This window comes from Homo sapiens, chromosome 12 (assembly GCF_000001405.40).
Source record: "Homo sapiens chromosome 12, GRCh38.p14 Primary Assembly".
Classification (NCBI taxonomy): domain Eukaryota; kingdom Metazoa; phylum Chordata; class Mammalia; order Primates; family Hominidae; genus Homo; species Homo sapiens.
The window spans coordinates 84,360,275-84,383,140 of NC_000012.12; the positions used below are offsets into that span (position 1 = coordinate 84,360,275).

Sequence of the window (22,866 nt, forward strand, 5' to 3'; positions counted from 1 at the left end):
GCATGCATCTGGAGATCATTTGTCTTAAGTAAATTAATACAGGAACAGAAAACAAAATACCACATGTTTTCACTTATAAGTGGGAGCTAAATATTGAGTATTCATGGACATAAAGACGGAAACCATAGTCACTGGAGACTACTAGATGGGGGAGAGAGGGAGGCAGGTAAGAGTTGAAAAACTAACCATTGTGTACAATGATGACTGCTTGGGTGACTGACAGGATCATTTATATTCCAAACCCCAGCATGATGCAATATACCTATGCAACAAACCTGTACTTATATCTCCTGAATCTAAAATAAAGTTGAAATTATGTTAAAAAAAGCATGAAAATAAAAATATCTGTAATACACACAAAAAACACATGTAGATAGAAAGGGCCTAGTGAGCCAAGTAAAGTTTATTATGTCTCAACATTGCAAAGGAGGAACAGGAATATTCTTTTTGCCTGAGTGTGACATGAAGAGATCTGAGAAAACACAGTGAACTTCCCTCCATCAAGTATGGACGAGCTGTAACAAAAAGATCCCATTCATAAGAGAAACTTATAAGCAATTGCAAGAGATATAAATTCAGAGAGGTTCTAAGGTTGAACATAAGAGATAATTTAGCAATGAAGCATATAGACTACATCAGAATGAGGACCATTCAGCACTACCAGTATGGAAAGATGATGTTCCACACAAAGTATTCTGTAAATTCACTAGGCATTATTTAAGATAAATAAAGAACTATATTCACAGGGAGACTTGTGAACAGATGTTCAAAGCAGCTTTACTTGTAATAGCCCCAAATGGAAAAAAAAAAAAAAACTAGAATAATGGGTACATATAATCTTATAATCTTACATATAATCTTAACATGTATCCATTATTGTGTATTAAAAAGTTGTCAACTAGGGCAATACTGTCCCCCATGGGAAATATCAGTAATGTCTGGAGACAATTTTGGCTGTCAAGATTGTGGTGGGTGGTGGTATTAGCATCTATGAGTACAGGGCAGAGATGCTGTTAAACATTCTACAATGAGCAGGACACTCCTTGTGATGGTCAATTTTATGTGTCAACTTGACCAAGTTAAGGGATGCCCAGATAAGTGGTAAAAAATTATTTCTGGATGTTTCTGTGGCTGTTTCTAGAAGAGATTAGCATTTGAATCAGTAGACTGAGCAAAGATCTGCCGTCATCAATGTGAGCCAGCATCATCTATTTTTTGAGTGCCCTGATATAAGCAAAAAGCAGAAGGGTGGGTGATTTCACTCTCTTTCCTTGATCTGGGTCATCCATCTTCTCTCGGCCTCAGATATTGATGGCAGCGGTGGGCCGACTAGAGTGTAACTGCCATCAAGCCACCACTGCGGGGAGGGCCTGGGGAGCAGGCAGACAGCACCCCCACAGCCTGCTGCCCAGGGGACCACCGTGACGGGCTAGACAAGGTCATCTGCCAGTGGGGGAGCAGTGCCATCAGGCAGAAAGCCTTGGCCTGGGGCAAGGTACTGGGGCGGCACTTTGGGGGCCCAGGGCGGGATGTGGGAGCGGTGCCCGCTTTGGGGACCTGGTCAGTGGTGTAGCCACTTCACTCACCCTGCTGAGGGCGCTGGGTTCCTGCACCTTAGAAGGAGGCTTTGCGTGGTGCCGCCCTGCATTGGGGTGACCGCTGAACCTGACACTCCAGATGGCCAGGCTCAGGGCCAGCGGTTTGCAATCTGCTTCCGGGTGCTCCCAGGAGGGCCCGCGAGCCAGGCCAGGGGTAGGCCAGGGCCGCCCCTGAGTACCAGCGCCAAGGGGAGCTCCCAGCAATGTTGCCCCTGCCCTGGATGCCAATTCAGGCACAGCGAGGACCTGGAGCCCTTGCCCCAGGCTGCAAGGGGACGTGGCCAGGGCTGCATGTTCCAAGGAGCCAGCGGGAGACAGGAGCAGACAGCAGCACCAGGTGCGGCTGTAGCTGCCCAAGTGAAGGCTGTGGACCTGGGCCTCCCTGTGCTCTTGGAGGCCAGAGCAGGCAGGAGTCCTGCCACCCGCCCTGCCCTGGGCACAGCTGTAGCCACCCAAGTCAGTACTGTGAACCTGAGCCTCTCAGCACCCTTGGGTGCCTGGGAAGGCCCCCCCGCCCCAACCCCGACCTTGCAGGCCCAGAGGTGTCTGCTTCCACTGCCTGGTCTCTTCCTGCTCCTGGCATCAGCTCCAATCTTGGAACAGGATTGGGGCCAAGTCTGGGCTATGTCACAGCCCGCTGGATGTGCGCATGCTCGGGGCAATGCTGACACGCCAGTGACTTGCCTCCTCAGCCTGCTCTGGACTGGGTGCTAACTACCATGGGGTGAATCCAAGGGGGTGGCTGAGGGAATCTCGGTGCTGGCCTGCAGGTGTCCCTTGGCTCAAGCAGCTTGGGCCCCATGGATGCTGGCAGGAGGCAGAAGGGTTCCTGGGCAGAAGGGGCCGGTCCCGGGTGAGGACCCACCTTCAGGCCAGGGAGGGATTGAAGGCTGGGGGCTGGGCTGCCAGTCCCGCCAACTGGAGTGGGGACTTGTGGTGCCTTTTCCCGGCCTGCCCATGGCCACCCATGGACCCATCAACAGCTACTGTCTCCCGTGTGAAGCCTATAAAAGGTCCGGCTAGGACAGAGCAGAGGAAGGAGCGATGACGGGATGACCAGCTGCAGAGAAGAGCTGCCCTCTCCGCTGATAGCTGAAGATGATGGGGTGACCAGCTGCAGAAAGGAGCTACCCTCTCTGCCAATGGCTGAAGACAACAGATGTCCAGCTACAGAGAAGAGCTAGCCTCTCTGGTGGGAGTGAACACTTGGGACAACCTACCTGTAGAGAAGACCTACTCTCTCTGCTAGGAGCTGAATACTTGATCGGGACACCTTGGCTGTGGAAAGGGGCTACCCCTGTGGGAGACTGAGCTGTTCTATCAACTCAATAAAGCTCCTCTTCATCTTGCTTACCCTCCACTTGTCTGCATACCTCATTCTCCCTGGTCTCAGGACAAGAACTGGGGACCTGCCAAAGGGCGAGGCTAAAAGAGCTGTAACACAAACAGGCCTGAAACATGTCCCTTGCTCACCACATTGTGGGCAAAGAGAAGGAGATAAAAGCTACAGCCCTTCAGGGAGCGGAGATCTGGGAGCTCCCCAAGCCAAGGCTGTAACTCTCTCTTTGGGACCCTGTGTTCCTGGCATCTCTAAGCTTCTGGGCACCAACACATTCCCTGGTGCTAGTAGGGGAAGCTGCTTGCAGTGTACCTGGTCCAGCTGTAGCCTCGCAGAGAGCAGGCACCCATGTTGGCACCTGGAGCTGCCTGCCCTGTGGCAGCAGCTGGTATGTTTGACAGCACAATAACCAGACCCCATGTTCACTCATACACCCCTCACCACTCCATGCCTGACTCGTAGTCTCTCTTGGAGGCGTGGGTTCCAGGTTGGTAGTGCTCCAGCTGAGCACAGTCTTCCAGGCCAAGTGGGCAGAATGAATACAGTGGGCCTTGGCAAAACTCAAGCAAAGGCACCACTGGCCACAGGTTTCCAGTCAGAAAACGACACCCCAGAAATCCTGTAACAATATTACATTATAGCTAATTGTTCTCTAGCTTTCAGATTCGAAACTTACACTAGTGCCTCCATCCTCTCATTCTCAGACCTCAGAGAGGGAGTTACAATGCAGGCTTTCCTGGTTCTCCAGCTTGCAGAGGACAAATTCTAGAACTTAGACTCCATAATTGTGTGAGCCAAGTACCATAATGAATCTCCTCTTTCTCTATCTGTCTCTCTCTCTTTATCATCTATCTACCTATCTGTCTATTCCATTGGTTCTGTTTCTCTGAAAAACCATATTTAAAACACCCCTTTATAACAAAGAATTATTCAGTGCAAAATATTAATAATGCAGAGGCTGAGAAACTCTATACAGTAAGGGCTCTAGGAATCTGAATATCAGACTTTCTCAGAAACACAGATATTTAGTGTATTTAATTCTTAGTTTTTTAAAACAGCTTCGTCTATAAATGATAGATTTCCCTTTCTTGTGAAAATACATTTTCTCCTTAAATTAAAATAAAATACATCTCTAACCCCCAAACACTTTGCTCATCTTATCTCATTATAAAACTAGTCTTATTAAACATAACTGAAATTTCAACAGAAGTACTTTTAATACTTTTATTTCAAATGAGCAAATATGTATTGATAATTATGTGTACCATATTAAATAACGAAGAAAAATCAATGTTCCATCTTGTTAGCTGAGACCTTAATTACATTACTTTCTTTTTTTGTTTGTTCGTTTTTTTTTGTTTTTGAGACGGAGTCTCGCTCGTTGCCCAGGCTGGAGTGCAGTGGCATGATCTCAGCTCACTGCAAGCTCCGCCTCCCGGGTTCATGCCATTCTCCTGCCTCAGCCTCCCGAGTAGCTGGGACTACAGGCGCCCGCCACCACGCCCGGCTATTTTTTTTTTTGTATTTTTTTTTTAGCAGAGACGGGGTTTCACTGTGTTAGCCAGAATGGTCTCGATCTCCTGACCATCCTGATCCACCAGCCTCAGCCTCCCACAGTGCTGGGATTACAGGCAATTACATTACTTTCTATCTTTATGTTTGTCTTTTCAGTTGTAAATAATTTTCCATTATCTACATTTTTTTGTTCTTTACTGGGGTACTATGTTTCTCATGCCAAAATTGGAAAAAAATACATATGTATATAATTGACATCTGTATTAGTCCATTTTCACACTGCTATAAACAATTACCTGAGACTGGGAAATTTATAAACAAAAGAGTTTTAATAGGCTCACAGTTCTGCATGGCTGGGGAGACCCCAGGAAATTTACAATTATGACAATAGGTGAAAGGGAAGCAAGGAACGTCTTCAAGGTGGCAGGAGAGAAAAAGCAAAGGTGGAACTGCCAAACCCTTTTAAATAATCAGATCTTGTGAGAACACATTCACTATCATGAGAACAGTATGGGGAAACCACCCCCATGATCCAATAACCTCCCACCAGGTCCTTCCCTTGACACATGGGGATTACAATTCTAGATGAGATTTGGGTGGGGACACAGAGCAAAACCATATTAACATCTAAAGTACTGAAATTCAAGGACTAGTCAGAATCGTACTGTGGTAATAACCTATATTAATTGCTCTACAGAAGAAAATAATGAGCTTATAGTGTAAAAAAAATACCCTCCAAAATGTTTGAAATGTAAAGTCAATAGACAAAACACCTATTTAAGTGTATAGAAATTTTATAATGATGTTGAAACAAAATGATAGTTGATAATACTTCATGAAAATTATTCATATTTTTAAAATAATTCATTTTGTCATGAACTAGTGAGTTCATAATCTCTAGATCTATTTATTTATTTATTTATTTATTTTTGAGACAGAGTTGCCCAGGTTGGAGTGCAGTGGTGTGATCTTGGCTCACTGCAAGCTCTGCCTCCTGGGTTCACACCATTCTCCTGCCTCAGCCTCCCGAGTAGCTGGGACTACAGGCGCCCTCCACCACGCTCAGCTAATTTTTTGTATTTTTAGTAGAGCGGTGTTTCACCGTGTTAGCCAGGGTGGTCTTGATCTCCTGGCCTTGTGATCTGCCAGCCTCAGTCTCCCAAAGTGCTGGGATTACAGGCATGTGCCACTGCGCCTGGCCCAGTTTTCTTAACTTACGCATATTGAATTTCATTGCATTGGCTTTGTGGCTGTCAAAAATGCAAACATTTCAGAAAGGAAAGTTCTATATAGATCCTGTGCAAGAACTGCTTTTCAGACAAAGCCGATACCTTTTATTTGAACAAGTGTTCAAAGTTTTTCTTGCCACCTTTGCCTCCAGATTTTTGCTTTTACCAACATCATTTCCAACACCTTCAGTGTAATTATAAACATGTTCATTTTAAAAGTGCACTCTTCAAATATGAAAGTTTTTAAATGTTGCAGAGAGAAAATAAGTAATCTTGCTTAGTATTGTAATATTTTAAAAAATATTTTATAACTCTTGATGGAGACATCTTTAATCCCCTGGGAAAGGGTTGCACTGTTTAAGTTTAACATGACTTTAGAAATTTCTTTTGAAATAAAAATACTGTATTGATTGCAACTCTGAACAAAGGTCATTCTTATGCAACTTAATCAAACACTACTATCACATAAATGCATTTCTAAAAATTATGGACAAAAACTACAATAAACTAAGACATTAACATTCTTTTATAAATTCAAATTGCTTTGTTCTGGATATCAGAACAAATATTTAGAAATGGAATCATTAAAAATAATTGTGCAACATCAGAAAACTTTTCACAGTGTTTCTTATCTTTCTTCCTGTTATAAACAGGACCTTCAGAAATTCCTATTTTTCCTCATTAAAATGTAAACATAAATTATGGTATGTATTAATAATCATTATATAAAATTGGAACAAAATTAGACTTCAGTAATTGAATTAAACTAGTAAAAATTGGGAGAGGAAACAGACATATTGATTTGGTACCTAATATGTGCCAGGAGTTTTGCAAGCCATATTAATGCACATCAAAAATGACAGCTTTGTAGCTGTATCATTATCCCCATTCTTAGAAATGAGAAGTGTGGGGTTCAGAGAGATTAGGTTATTTTCCCAATCCGCATAGTTAGTAAAAGCCTAGCAAAGATTTTATCCAAATTTGTCTGACCCTCAAATTTGACTCTTGCTGTTTATTAGAATAAAGTTTTAGGTCTGGTAATAGCAGTTGACCTCAAAGAAGTCATCATTGTAGCAGTGGTAGTAGTTGACAAAGGAGACGAAAAGGATAAGGAAAGAGACATAGCTAAAGCTTATTAAGCATTTGCTGTATGCTAAGGATTTTGAAAGGATTACTTTAATCCTCAAAACAGTGACTTTCTATAGATAATGTTATTTTCCATATCTTAATAGATGAAAAACCATAAATAATGTTAGATTAGTTGCTCAACATAAAATAGCTAGTAAAAGATATAGTTCGGATTCAAATCGCCAAAATCTAATTTCAGAACCTTTGTTGTTAACCACTTAACTGAGAATTTATTATACTTTATGGCATTACAACTAAAAATTTATAACAAATACAAATAACAAAATAATCCCCCTCTGATACAAGATAAGATAAAAAATGAAATGAATAGGAAGAATCTTTAATGAACAAAAGTAGCATAAAAATGGCATATACAGTATTATCTCCACTACATCTAAATTCATTATAAGAGAACAAAGTATGTAACCCCATTACTGATTATTGTTTCTGTGTTGTCAAATTATTATTACTATTACTACTATTATTATTTGCTTTTGAATTTTAGTAGTTTGTAAAGTTTCATCAATTAGTATGTATAACTTTATTATTTTCATTAGAAAATGAACAGTATTTTTAGAAACTTTTTCAAAGCTGGGAAACTAATGGAGGAAAATATTTAATAATTTCTCCACATCAATCTTGTTTTTATCCTGAGAATAAAATTAGAGTAACTATTGTGAAATGATTATAACTTCTATGCTCAGAATAGGTAAATATAAAAAATAAACAGGAAAAAGTTCAGGTAAGCTTTAAAGAATAATTTTCTATGAATGTTTACAATTTAATACATTATTTTGTTGTTTTTGTGTGGGCAACAGCAAAACCATTATATATGTTTTCATCTATAACTTTCAAGATAATGGTTACAATTTGAAAAGTTATCTCATTTTTCTTGCTGTGTACCTATATTGCAGTTTTCCTACATAAATATTCAATCAGCGTACTCCACGAATTTCTTCTTGTGTAACGCAATAGCTTAAGAGTGTTGGTTATGACAGGAACAGAAAACCAAACACCACACATTCTCACTCATAAGTGGGAGTTGAACAATGAGGACACATGGACACAGGGAGGGGAACATCACACACTGGGGCCTGTCGGGGGCTGGGGGCCAAGGGGAGGGAGAGCATTAGGACAAATACCTAATGCATGTGGGGCTTAAAACCTAGATGACGTGTTAGTAGGTGCAGCAAACCACCATGGCACATGTATACCAATGTAAAAAACCTGCATGTTCTGCACATGTATCCCAGAACTTAAAGTAAACAACAACAAAAAAAGAGTGGTGGTTACGGTATCCTTTGAATTGGCAGATCAAACTCTAATAGGGACTTCTTCATCATGGGGTAATTTAAATAAAACACAGAGTGGATAATTATTAATGAATAAAAGAATATGAGGCTTTATTCTACTTACATTTCAATTTCAGATAGTCAGTGACCATATAATACAATAAATAAAATACGGTGATAGAAAAATGAAGGAAGGACTGTACTGTTAAGAAGAACATTTAAAAGATAATATGATATAACTCAAGGGACAAGGTTTATAAAGAAGCAATTGAATTTTAGCCTCATTTTCACTTTAATTTCTGTTTAGAACTATGTTTTTCAAAATTTTAAAAACATTTTTAGACAGGCTAATTTTATGACAGTAGATCTTCATAAAAAAAGATTATATTGGAATATTTCAACAAAAAATTATAAATCAGAATTAAAAACAAGAAGTTAGTTATAACTTTTAAGTAATTCTGTGTTTAAAAACTAGATGGCATCTTAAAAACTCAATTCTGAAACAGTTAATTTTTTTTATTTCCTATTTTCTTTTTTATTTTTTTCTACTTTAAGTTCTAGGATACATGTGCAGAATGTTCAGGTTTGTTATATAGGTATACATGTGCCATGGTGATTTGCTGCACCTATCAACCTGTCATATAGGTTGTAAGCTCCACATGCATTAGGTGTTCATCCTAATGCTTTCCCTACCCTTGCCCCCAAACCCCTGACAGGACCTGGTGTGTGTTGTTCCCTTCACTGTGTCCATGTCTTCTAATTGCTCAACTCCCACTTCTGAGTGAGAACATGTGGTGTTTGGTTTTCCATTCCTGTGTTGGTTTGTTATGGATGATGGCTTTCAGCTTCATCCGTGTCCCTGCAAAGGATATAATCTCATTTTTTATGGCTGCATAGTATTCCACGGTGTACATGTACTACATTTTCTTTATCCATTGTATCATTGATGGGCATTTGGATTGGTTCCATGTCTTTGCTATTGTAAATAGTGCTGCAATAATACCCAAAAGAATATAAATCATTCTACTATAAAAGCAGTTAACTTTTATGGGCATCTAAGTGATGATGAAATTTATCTTTGCTAATATTTAGAAGTGGTGAGACTTCAGATTATTCAGGAAAGCAATATGACAATTAGGATTGAAACAACATGCTGAAATAATAAATGACTTAATAAATAGATTGTTGAATCATCATCAAATTCTATCCATGCATGTTGTTTTATTTTATTTTCAATTAAGCATTAAATAAGAGAAAAATTATATAAAAGGTATTGTCTATTTTAATGATATCATTATTTTCATTAAAGTTAATAATTGTATTAAGCTTTTATAATATAATAACTTATATTCAAGGAGCCATATAAATTTCATCTAGAAGAGGTGCTGTTATTTAAAGAGAAAATAAAACATTTAAATCATCCAAGTGTATTGCATACTTGAAATTTGTAAGGAGAGTAGATCTCAAGTGTGCTCACTAAACAAAAAAAGGTTAGTATTTGTGGTGATGGACATGTTAATTAGCTTGATTGTGGTAGTCATTTCAAAATGTACACATATATCAAAATATCACATTTTGTATGTTCAGTATATATAAATAATCCCACAAATTTAGACTGTATTACATGCATAATACCTGCTATCTAACCTCAAACTCTACATAGTTTTGTAGAAAACTATGAAAATATTAAGCAGTATAATAAAACTATTATTTTATACTTAATGTATTATCCATTTAATATTGATGATGTAGCTTCCCGGCAAATTACTTAATTTGGCTAGCATTTAATGTAAATTTATCTAATACATGAAACTGAGAATTATTCCCTTGACCAATTTTTTAACTGATTCTAAAATAAAATTTCCAACTGAATCTAGAAACATCCTATGTAGACTCTAAAATTAGTAGAATACCAAAGGAGAAAATGTGAGGAAAAAAAATCAACTCTTTTCAAAAAGGAGAAAAATATAAAATGAAAAAGTGACACAGAATTTGCCCTACACTAGTCCATCTACTGACAGAACTTTTCCACTAAAGAAAAGTACGAACAAGAAAGCAGTCAAAGAGGTTCCTTCTCTCACTTGCTACCTCTTGAACTATATCTCCCTTATGTTCATCATTCTCTTCCCCTTAGAAATTTGCAATTTGAAAAATCTAGATCTCACTAAAGTCTTTCCAAACACACATTGTCTTAATAATCTTAAAATTTGCTTACTGGAAGGTAATCTAATTGTTTTTCTTTTTATCTTTTGGACCATTATTTTAGGTCCATTTTGGACTTGACTGTCTGGCCTTTATTTGTGGTATTTTTCTATTTGGATGGATAAGTTTCTGTCAATCTCTTTTATTTTAAGTTGCATTATGAAATTTTAACTCTTGACCCTTTCAAAAGGATCTCTATCAATTTCAATTGCCGGCCTTTTGACATTCAACAGCTTCCACAGACATTCATTTTAAAACTACATCACTGCATTTGAGAACAGGAGTGCCAAAGAAAATCTGCAGGAAACCAACTAAGGATATGGAGTTTAAATTAGTTCATTACAAGAACAGAAATTCACATTTCTATTGCTCTGTGCCAATGACTTTTTTGCACTTGATAAACTCCAAGTTTTTGATAGTTATAGCTGTTATATATCATCTTTTTATTAACGCAATGTGTTTTGTTAAGTGATAATAATCAAATTGTCTGTTCATATCCTTCGCCCACTTGTTGATGGGGTTCTTTATTTTTTTCTTGTAAATTTGTTTGAGTACTTTGTAGATTAGGATAATAGCCCTTTGTCTGATGAGTAGATTGCAAAAATTTTCTCCCATTCTGTAGGTTGCCTGTTCACCCTGATGATAGTTTCTTTTGCTGGGCAGAAGCTCTTTAGTTTAATTAGATCCCATTTGTCAATTTTGGCTTTTGTTGCCATTACTATTGGTGTTTTAGACATGAAGTCCTTGCCCATGCCTATGTCCTGAACGGTATTGCCTAGGTTTTCTTCTAGGGTTTTTATGGTTTTAGGTCTAACATTTAAGTCTTTAATCCATCTTGAATTAATTTTTGTATAAGGTGTAAGGAAGGGATCCAGTTTCAGCTTTCTACATATGGCTAGCCAGTTTTCCCAGCACCATTTAGTAAATAGGGAATCCTTTCCCCATTTCTTGTTTTTGTCAGGTTTGTCAAAGATCGGATGGTTGTAGATGTGTAGTATTATTTCTGAGGGCTCTGTTCTGTTCCATTGGTCTATATCTCTGTTTTGGTACCAGTACCATGCTGTCTTGGTTACTGTAGCCTTGTAGTATAGTTTGAAGTCAGGTAGCGTGATGTCTCCAGCTTTGTTCTTTTGGCTTAGGATTGTCTTGGCAATGTGGGCTCTTTTTTGGTTCCATATGAACTTTAAAGTAGTTTTTTCCAATTCTGTGAAGAAAGTCATTGGTAGCTTGATGAGGATGGCACTGAGTCTATAAATTACCTTGGGCAGTATGGTCATTTTCAAGATATTGATTCTTCCTATCCATGAGCATGGAATGTTCTTCCATTTGTTTGTGTCCTCTTTTATTTTGCTGAGCAGTGGTTTGTAGTTCTCCTTGAAGAGGTCCTTCACATCCCTTGTAAGTTGGATTCCAAGGTATTTTATTCTCTTTGAAGCAATTGTGAATGGGAGTTCACTCATGATTTCGCTCTCTGTTTGTCTGTTATTGGTGTATAAGAATGCTTGTGATTATTGCACATAGATTTTGTATCCTGAGACTTTGCTGAAGTTGCTTATCAGCTTAAGGAGATTTTGGGCTGAGACAATGGGGTTTTCTAAATATACAATCATGTTATCTGCAAACAGGGACAATTTGATTTCCTCTTTTTCTAATCGAATACCCTTTATTTCTTTCTCCTGTCTGATTGCCCTGGCCAGAACTTCCAACACACATAAGCTCAAAACAAAGGGATGGAGGAAGATCTACCAAGCAAATGGAAAGCAAAAAAAGGCAGAAGTTGCAATCCTAGTCTCTGATAAAACAGACTTTAAAACAACAAAGATCAAAAGAGACAAAGAAGGCCATTACATAAACGTAAAGGGATCAATTCAACAAGAAGAGCTAACTATCCTAAATATATATGCACCCAATACAGGAGCACCCAGATTCATAAAGCAAGCCCTTAGAGACCTACAAAGAGACTTAGACTCCCACACAATAATAATGGGAGACTTTAACACCCCACTGTCAACATTAGACAGATCAACGAGACAGAAAGTTAACAAGGATATCCAGGAATGGAACTCAGTTCTGCACCAGGCAGACCTAATAGACATCTACAGAACTCTCCACCCCAAATCAACAGAATACACATTCTTTTCAGCACCGCATCACACTTATTCCAAAATTGACCACATAGTTGGAAGTAAAGCACTCCTCAGCAAATGTAAAATAACAGAAATTATGACAAATTGTCTCTCAGACCACAGTGCAATCAAACTAGAACTCAGGATTAAGAAACTCACTCAAAACCGCTCAACTACATGGAAACTGAACAACCTGCTCCTGAATGACTACTGGGTACATAACGAAATGAAGGCAGAAATAAAGATGTTCTTTCAAACCAATGAGAACAAACACATAACATACCGGAATCTCTGGGACACATTTAAAGCAGTGTGTAGAGGGAAATTTATAGCACTAAGTGCCCACAAGAGAAAGCAGGAAAGATCTAAAATTGACACCCTAACATCACAATTAAAAGAACTAGAGAAGCAAGAGCAAACACATTCAAAAGCTAGCAGAAGGCAAGAAATAACTAAGATCAGAAAAGAACTGAAGGAGATAGAGAAACAAAAAACCTTTCAAAAAAATCAATGAATCCAGGATCTGGTTTTTTGAAAAGATCAACAAAATTGATAGACTGCTAGCAGACTTATAAAGAAGAAAAGAGAGAAGAATCAAATAGACACAATAAAAAATGATAAAGGGAATATCACCACTGATCCCAGAGAAATACAAATTACCATCAGAGAATACTATAAACACCTCTACGCAAATAAACTAGAAAATCTAGAAGAAATGGATAAATTCCTCAACACATACACCCTCCCAAGACTAAACCAAGAAGAAGTTGAATCCCTGAATAGACGAATAACAGGCTCTGAAATTGAGGCAATAATTAATAGCTTACCAACCAAAAAAAGTCCAGGACCAGATGGATTCACAGCTGAATTCTACCAGAAGTGCAAGGAGGAGCTGGTACCATTCCTTCTGAAACTATTCCAATCAATAGAAAAAGAGGGAATCCTCCCTAACTCATTTTATGAGGCCAGCATCATCCTGATACCAAAGCCGGGCAGAGACACAACTAAAAAAGAGAATTTTAGACCAATATCCCTGATGAACATCGATGCAAAAATCCTCAATAAAATACTGGCAAACTGAATCCAGCAGCACATCAAAAATCTTATCCACCATGATCAAGAGGGCTTCATCCCTGGGATGCAAGGCTGGTTCAACATACGCAAATCAATAAATGTAATCCAGCATATAAACAGAACCAAAGACAAAAATCACATGATTATCTCAATAGATACAGAAAAGGCCTTTGACAAAATTCAACAGCGCTTCATGCTAAAAACTCTCAATAAATTAAGTATTAATGGGACGTATCTCAAAATAATAAGAGCTATTTATGACAAACCCACAGCCAATGTCATACTGAATGGGCAAAAACTGGAAGCATTCCCTTTGAAAACTGGCACAAGACAGGGATGCCGTCTCTCACCACTCCTATTTTTCTGAGACACATTTTAAGGTCTATTGCTGAAACAAGTTATCTAAATTTATAATAATTTTATACTCTTGGCATAGGTGGAAATTTTTAAAAGTAAAGTAGATGAATATTTTCAATTTCCTTTAGTTTGTAGTCCTCTGTGACAAATTTTTTGAACATTAGAGAAGTTGAATGGTAGGCAAACTAGTTAATTGTCATAGCATCCCTTTTTCATTCCTTAGTGATATGAGAATTCTTTGTAGTCTCCTTAGGAAAGTGCACAATAATGTGTTCCATCCTCAGTTACACGAACGTAAAATACCTCTCCTGCCCTCAAATGAATTCCTTCTCTCTATATTACGTATAATTCAGTTTTATGCTAAAATTCAATTGAGAAAGAAATATGTAAATATGTAAAAATATTTAAATTAAACTTTTTTTAGAGCATGATAAATATGTCCTTAACATCTAACACATTTATTCAATCTGTCATTAAAAAATGCTATTTTTCATGGTTATAAATTTTATGTAGACCATTCTCAATAACAAATTTATTGTATCACTATTAATGTCTTCCTGACTTTCCACTTTGTAAAATATATACAATTCAAAAAAGCCATTATCCTGACCTTTTCAATGGTCACTCTAATTTTTTTTCCAATTTTATTTCAAAACAGAGAATATCCCTAAATCCTCTTTAACTGCAGCCCACTATATAAGAAGTATGTTGTTTTTAGGATAAAAAATATTATATTTAGCGATTTTGAATGCTACTTCTACCCCTTGCTTTGCTCTTCTACTATTATGCGTGTTAGTCAATTACAGTACACTGTCGAAACCTTTACCTTAAGGTCATTAAAGCGGTCAGACTTGATAAACACTACAGACATCAAAATGGTTATGTCTAATGAGAGTAAAATTATTTATTCATTTTTTACCTCGTTTTGTATATAGTTACTAGAATCAGATGCCTTTGATCAAATACACTAGTTTGGTTTTAACAGTTGTTAAAAAATTTTCAAGTCTCCTAAGGTGCTGTAGGGACACACTTGAATAAATGTGTTTTTGAATAATATAGAAATTTTGACAAAATTCTCAGTTTTTAGGCACTAAAAACCAGGGATGCAAAAATATGAATGAATAGTATTTCCGGACTTGTTTAAATAAATATTCATATAATTAAAAAATAATGCCAAATTTCTCAAGCTTTTGATTTTAAGTAATCAACTAAATTCATTTATTTTCCAAAAAAAAAGATGTTTTCTGTTATTGATGAGTAAAACTTATAAACTTTTTTATTACTATATGAGGTGCTTTCTTTTTTCTTTACTCAATCAGAAAAGAAGCCAAGGTTATCAGCCAATAGTCATGTGTTCATACACACATATTTTTATAATGTTCACATATCATGTAACCTTTGTGGCAAGAAAGTTAAGTCTCATATTCTAGCAAAACCTTCAGTTGAGGGCTCATAACTCACATTGCAGTCCATTAGTCTCAGATAAAGCTTACAATAGCAGACATGATTACTTAAACAGTTCAGGAATATATGATGAGGCATTACTCAGCCATCTAGTGTAAGTAATCATAAAAGATATGCCACAGTTTATTACAGTTAAATCAGCAAATGGGTCCTGAAGCACTAGCAAAATTATTTGCCTTTATATGCACATTCAACTTATCTTTGTAAGTAGAGTCTCATGAAGATAAGAATCATTGAAATTGAAATAGACCAGGAAAAAAATATAGCTTGGCTATCTGATGCTATTATTGATGTAAATTGTAATTTAAGGTCAGGAAAAAAAGAGTTTTACTTTCTCTTTTCCCCTATGAAGATGTAAGATGCCAAAACATCTTAAAAGTTGGCTTTGATTCACTTGCAGGTGTTAAGAGTTGAATATGAGTAGCCATGGTGATTGAACAAACAAAAAAGTAACGTGAATAAAGTATACCTTTGAGATTTGAGATTTTATATCAGCCAAAATATGCTGTAATATTTTTAAGATAATTTTTTAAAAATTGGAATGGATGACACAAAATCATAGATGTTATTTGATTTTAGAAAGTTATGTTTTCTATTTTTTGGTAAATGGTCATACAAACCCTTTTGTTTTTCTAAAGCCATGAGTTTTTATTTGCTTCGAAATTGCATTTTCTGAAAATACTTAAATACATGAGCTACATTTATTTTCTAAGCAATGGCTAAGAAATGATGATATATATTAAAAGCTTTTCTCCAGAATGAGCTTACAGACAGTGATTAAAATGAAATGACTGATTTTATGGGAAATTATTTTTATAATCATTTAATCAATTCAGGCTTATAGAAATCTCTGTTTATTATCAAATATAAACACATCTGCAGTTCAACCACAATGGTAATTCCACTCTCATTTTATTGCACTTCAATTGCCATTATGACTACTGTTTTAATTATATTACTAAAAGGAAACATTATTTAAAGTGACCACAACATAATTTTAAGTTAACCTCCTGAACCTATGTTCATCATGTTAGTGTCATTCTTGGTTGATTTAAAACTTGGTTCATGGAAAAAGACGTGGATTCTCTCAAAATTCCAACATTTTTGGATCCTCTGTCAGGACTTTGAACTAGAGATAAAAGAGTATAGTTTCAGTAACAGACCACATATAGAATGGGCACAACATAGTAAGGAGAGGTCATGATACAGGTCTTTATGATTTGATGCCTCTGTAACAAATGTAGACTCTTCAGCCTCAATTTTTCTGGTTGTGTGGCAGACTTTGAGTGTCATCTACTGAAAAATAAGTAAGTAGCTTTAAGTCTCATTCTCCATAGATATTTGGCCTTGTAGTGTATACTGAAGGTTGAGAGGTCTTATTCCACAAAAAAGAGACAATTTTATATTGACAGGTTAAAACATCTCTGCATAGGTTTCAGCATGAGGACCCTAGCAATTAAAAACCTTGCTACAGAAGGCTTATCAAACAAAAGGATACCAAATGTCAGACTTAAGAACCTCAGCTTAAATAAAAATGTAAATAAAACAGAGTAACAATTATATGATTTAATGTTGTTATTGCCTGTGTTATTCTTCTATAAAAACTGAATGACTATTTCCACAAATAGACATATCTGCAAGCTAAATGCCCCTCTATGACAAACTTGTATTTACATATATCTCCTTTATACTTGAAAACACTTGCTTAATATAGGGTAAGATTATCTCTTACCTGAACTGTTCATGATTGTCAAATTTACAATCTAAATTATTAATTTTAAACAATAATAAAATAAGTTTGTGTCAAATAAGAAATTATTTGATGATAGGAAAACTTTAGAATCAACGTAGATAGCAAAGACATATTTCTATATGAACTGCTCAAAAAATCCATTTTACATTTTCCAGCAATCAAAGGTTGACTGTACTTGAATCTACATTCAAAGAATGTAGATTTAATTTGTAAATGCAACATTCTCTTCTCTCGAAACACAATAGAAACCACTATTAAGAAAGGAAATAAATGCACTATTAAGAGAGGAATAAATAAAAATATATTTGAGATGTTTATTGCGGCACTATTCACAATAGCAAAGACTTGGAACCAACCCAAATGTCCATCAATGATAGACTGGATTAAGAAAATGTGGCACATATACACCATGGAATACTATGCAGCCATAAAAAAGGATGAGTTCATGTCCTTTGTAGGGACATGGATGAAGCTGGAAACCATCATTCTCAGCAAACTATCACAAGGGCAAAAAACCAAACTCCGCATGTTCTCGCTCATAGGTGGGAATTGAACAATGAGAACACTTGGACACAGGAAGGGGAACATCACACACTGGGGCCTGTCATGGGGTGGGGGGATGGGGGAGGGATAGCATTAGGAGAAATACCTAATGTAAATGACGAGTTAATGGGCGCAGCACACCAACATGGTGCATGTATACATATGTAACAAACCAGCACGTTGTGCACATGTACCCTCGAACTTAAAGTATAATTAAAAAAAAGAAAATCTAAACTCAGAAATGTGTAAAAATGAGAAGATAGAATTGATTTTATCCAAAGAATGCAAAGATGTTTGATTTTATAAAATAAATGACTGTAATTCTACATTTAACAATTAAAAGCCATATTGTTAAATGCCATAAAACATTGTATCAAACTTAATACTACTTCACAATATTTTTAAAAAAGCAACAGACAATAAAGATCTAAAAGAAATGCTGGTGTTCTAATCAAATGATCTGCCAAAACTCTACAGCAAAAGCTATTCCTTTTTTAACATCTGAAAAGATAGCAAAATACTCTGCAGCACACTGGAACAGGAAGAGTAAACTTATCTAGGACTAACTGGACCAGATAATTTGTAGCCAATTATCATGCTAGAAGGTAAATCAGTGCTTTCTATGTAGGAAAAACATAAATGTGGCAAAACTTCCTAGCATGCCACTTTATGTATAAGACTTGATCTTACCCCCATTCCCTATTACCAAGTTGAGGGACTGGTGATCCTCCAGCTACAGATACCGAGCTGACAGAACAGGACTGAAGCTAAGGGTGAAACACATCATATTTCTACTTTGTCCTAGTCTCTGATAACATTAGAGAATGAACTCCTGCTTCTCTAAGTATGTATTCTTGAAGACTCACAGTTCAAGGATCACAGTTCCTCTCCTTCTTTTTCAGTCTGACATTATTCTGACAGATTGCCCAGTATTGGTACCAGAGTGAAACAGGCAAATAAACCTTTATATCTGTTACCATGCAATTTCTAACAATACACGCTTTTCTAGCAGGCCCTGTGTGCCTGTCCATATTCCACTGTTCCACAACTCTCTCATTTAAGTATTATAACAGCATAGCCTATAGAGTGAGACAAGAAAAATAAATACATTGTGTAAAGATTGAAAAAAACGAACAAATATCTCATTATTTGCAGGTAATGTGATTGTCTACATAGAAAACCTAAAAGAGTATACAGATTATGGCAGATAAAGTAATGCTCTGCAAGTATTCTATCTGTTCCCCCACAGGCTCTGTTACACGTAGTTAGTCAGGGTCATGTGACTAGCTCTGGTCAGCAATATATGAATGTATATGTAAGTTCTGAGCTGAGGTATTGAAACTCTCATGCAAGATCCCTCAGTGTCTATTATGCCCTGTTACTTTGAGAAAATTTACGTTCCAGCGGGCACAGATACTAGGTAACAGTCTTCCATCCCCTCTCAATGTGTCAAGTAGAACCTTCCGCAAAACACAAAACAACAGAAAAGTAGGTGAAGATAATGATAATCTCTGTTATGCAGTAACAAAATAAGGAGTAAAACTGTCAACTGCAATAGGATAATTTGTAGTTCACAAGTTATAGCTAATGGATGTGTGGCTCAAAGGGAAGAAGCTGGACAAGAAATAGTATCTATTGGTAGATATTGGCTGCTCAGAAAACAATTGACTGTAAGAAAAATAAAATGTTTCTATTAATCATTTCACCATAAAATAAATAAATAATAAAGTCTACTGAAAGTAGAATGGATAAATACACTATTGTCTATTCACACAAAGAATATTATGTGGAAATAAAAAATAGAAGAACATCTATACAGACAGAAGAGGAAAGATCTTAGATCTGTAATATACTGAGAGAAGACCATATGGACATTAACTTCAAATACACACAAAAATTAAAGAATACAGTGGTAAATATATGCAAATGAGATAAAGTGTGCACAAATGATATGATAAAGTTTGGCATAGTTATTTAGTGGAAGAGGCAGGATGAGAATATTAAAAAAGAGCACATCAATAGGTGCTAAATATTGAAAATATTCAAATTTATAAGTTAAAAAGTGAGTTCACAAATGTTAATTTTATTATGTTTATTTAATATTATGCTTTATAACATGTGTATTTAAAGGCTTATTACTTTTATAATAAAATATAAATAAAAATGAGAATCACTTCTAAAAATATCAAATGACATTGATATTGTCATGAAGAACATTGACTATCATGTCCATTTGTTATCAAATGAGAAATGTCCCTATTGTATTCTCACATATATAGAAAGGTGATGCAACACTTCTTTGTGCATTTATACATTTCATTATGCATTTATAAATGTACAAATATAGGCTTGAGCAAGTACTCTAGGATTTGCTCTGTAGGACTAAGGTTTCATCCATACAAAGAGAAGTAAAAAAAAATACACCTCTTGTATGGTTATTGTGAAGATTACGCGATGATGCACAGAAAGCACTTACCACATTTCCTGGAATTAATGTTTTCATTGGTGCTTTCGTATTCATTCATACCATGAAAGATTTAAAACATATATGTCCATGAATGACAAAATGTAAACCAAGAGGAAATAGGCAGAAGACTCTTTCAGGACATTTTTCATGACAACTGAAGATAATGAAAATCTTTGTAGGTATGAAGGGAACAGATTATACATTAATGACAGAATATTTTATTATTTTGTAAAAATAAGATTGGATCTATAAATATATTCAAATTATAGATCCAGTCGTTACTGTTATTATTATTATTATTATTTCAATAGTTTGGGGGTAACGGGGTGTTTTATTGCAGGGATAAGTTCTTTAGTGGTGATTTCTGAGTTTTTGGTGCACCCATCACCTGAGCAGTGTACACTGTACCCAATGTGTCATCTTTTATCCCTCACCCCCGACCCACCCTTTCCCAAGAGTCCCCAGAGTCCATTATATATTCTTATTCTTTTGCATCCTCGTGGCTTAGCTCCCATTTGTAAGTGAGGACCTAGGATGTTTGGTGTTCCATGCCTGAGTTACTTCACTTACTATAATGGTCTCCAACTACATTCAGGTGGCTGCTAATGCCATTATTTCATTCCTTTTTATGGCTTAGTTGAATACAACTATATATAGTCTCATATATATGTGTATATATATATATATAACGTTTTCTTTATTCACTTGATTGATGGGCATTTCGGCTGGTTCCATATTTTTGCAATTATGAATGGTAGTACTATAAGTATGTGTGCACAAGTGCCTTTTTCAAATAATGACTTTTTTTTTTTCCTCTGGGTAGATACCCAGTAGTGGGATTTCTGGATCAAATGGTAATTCTACTTTTAGTTCTTTAAGGAGTCTCCATACTGTTTTTCATAGGGGGTTGTACTAGTTTACATTCCTACCAGCAGTGTAAAAGTATTCCCTTTCCACCACATGCATGCCAACATCTATTATTTTTTGTTATTTTTTTTTAAGTGATGGCCATTCTTGCAGGATTAAGGTGGTATTGCATTTTGGTCTTGGTTTGCATTTCCCTGATAATTAGTGATGCTGAGCATTTTTTCATATGTTTGTTTGCTGTATATATATCTTCTTTTAAGAATTGTCTATTCATGCCCTTAGCCCACTTTTTGAATGAATTATTTGTTTTTTTCTTGCTAACTTGTTTGGGTTCCTTGTAGATTCTGGATATTAGTTTTTTTGTCAGATGCATAGTTTGTGAATATTTTCTCTCACTCCGTGGGTGGTCTTTTTTTTGTTTTGTTTTGCTGTGCAGAAGCTTTTCAGTTTAATTAAGTCCAATATGTTTATCTTTGTTTTCGTTGCATTTGCTTTTGGGTTCTTGGTCATAAACTCTAAGCCTAAGCCAATGTCTATAATAGTTTTTTTATGCTATGTTCTAGAATTTTTCTGGTTTTAGGAATTCAATTTAAGTCTTTGATCCATCTCAAGGTGATTTTTGTATAAGGTGAGATAAGGATCCAGTTTCATTCTTCTACATGTGGCTTATCAATTATCCCAGCACCATTTCTTAAATAGGATGTCCTTTCCCCCCCTTATGTTTTTGTTTGCTTTGTCAAAGATCAGTTGGCTATAACTATTTGCATTTATTTTTGGGTTCCGTATTCTGTTCCATTGGTTTATGTGCCTATTTTTATACCAGTACCATGCTCTTTTGATTATAATAGCCATGTAATATAGTTTTAAGTCAGGTAATGTGATGCCTCCATATATATATATATAATAATACTTTAAGTTCTGGGCTACATGTGCAGAATGTGCAGGTTTGTTACATACGTATACATGTGCCATGGTGTTTTGCTGCACCCATTAACTCATTATCTACATTAGGTATTTCTCCTAATGCTATCCCTCCCCTACCCCAACCCCCCGACATGCCCCAGTGTGTGATGTTCTCCTCCCCATGTCCATGTGTTCTCATTGTTCAATTCCCACCTATGAGTGAGAACACGCAGTGTTTGGTCTTTCTGTTCTTGTGTTAATTTGCTGAGAATGATGGTTTCCAGCTACATCCATGTCCCTGCAAAGGACATGAACTCATTCTTTTTTATAGCTGCATAGTATTCCATGGTGTGTATGTGCCACATTTTCTTTATCCAGTCTATCATTGAAGGGCATTTGGGTTGGTTTCAAGTCTTTGCTATTGTGAACAGTGCTGCAATAAACATACGTGTGCATGTGTCTTTATAGAAGAATGATTTATAATCCTTTGGGTATATACCCAGTAATGTGATTACTCAGTCAAATGGTATTTCTGGCTCTAGATCCTTGATGAATCACCACACTGTCTCCCATATTCATACTTTTTGCTTAGCCTTGCTTTGGCTATGTGAACTCTTTTTTCTTTCCATATGAATTTTAGGATTCTTTTTCTAGTTCTGTGAGAAAGATGATGGTATTTCAATGATAATTGTGTTGATTTTTTTAAACTGATTTTGGCATTATGGTCATCTTCACAATATTAATTCTACCCATCCATTAGCACTGATGTGTTTCAATTTGTTTGTGTCACCTATGATTTCTTTCAGCAGTTTTTTGTAGTTTTCCATGTGGAAATATTTCACTTCCTTTGCATTCCTAAATTGTTTTGTTTTTGTTTTTGTTTTTGCAGCTGTTGTAAAAGGGGTTAAGTTCCCAGCTTGGTCACTGTTGGTTTATAGCAGTGCTACTGATTTGTGTACATTGATTTTGCATCCTGAAACTTTACTGAATTTGTTTATTAGATATAGAA

The 22,866-nt window shown here is 36.3% G+C and overlaps 1 long non-coding RNA gene across 1 annotated transcript; it reads right to left on the reverse strand.

Moving 5' to 3' along the window:
• Positions 1–383: 383 nt before the first annotated feature.
• Positions 384–1,702, reverse strand: LOC124903066 (uncharacterized). Its single transcript, XR_007063554.1, has 2 exons — positions 1,587–1,702; positions 384–515 (listed from the first exon to the last, which is right to left on the reverse strand). It is a non-coding gene; the product is annotated as an uncharacterized LOC124903066 (long non-coding RNA).
• Positions 1,703–22,866: the final 21,164 nt, after the last annotated feature.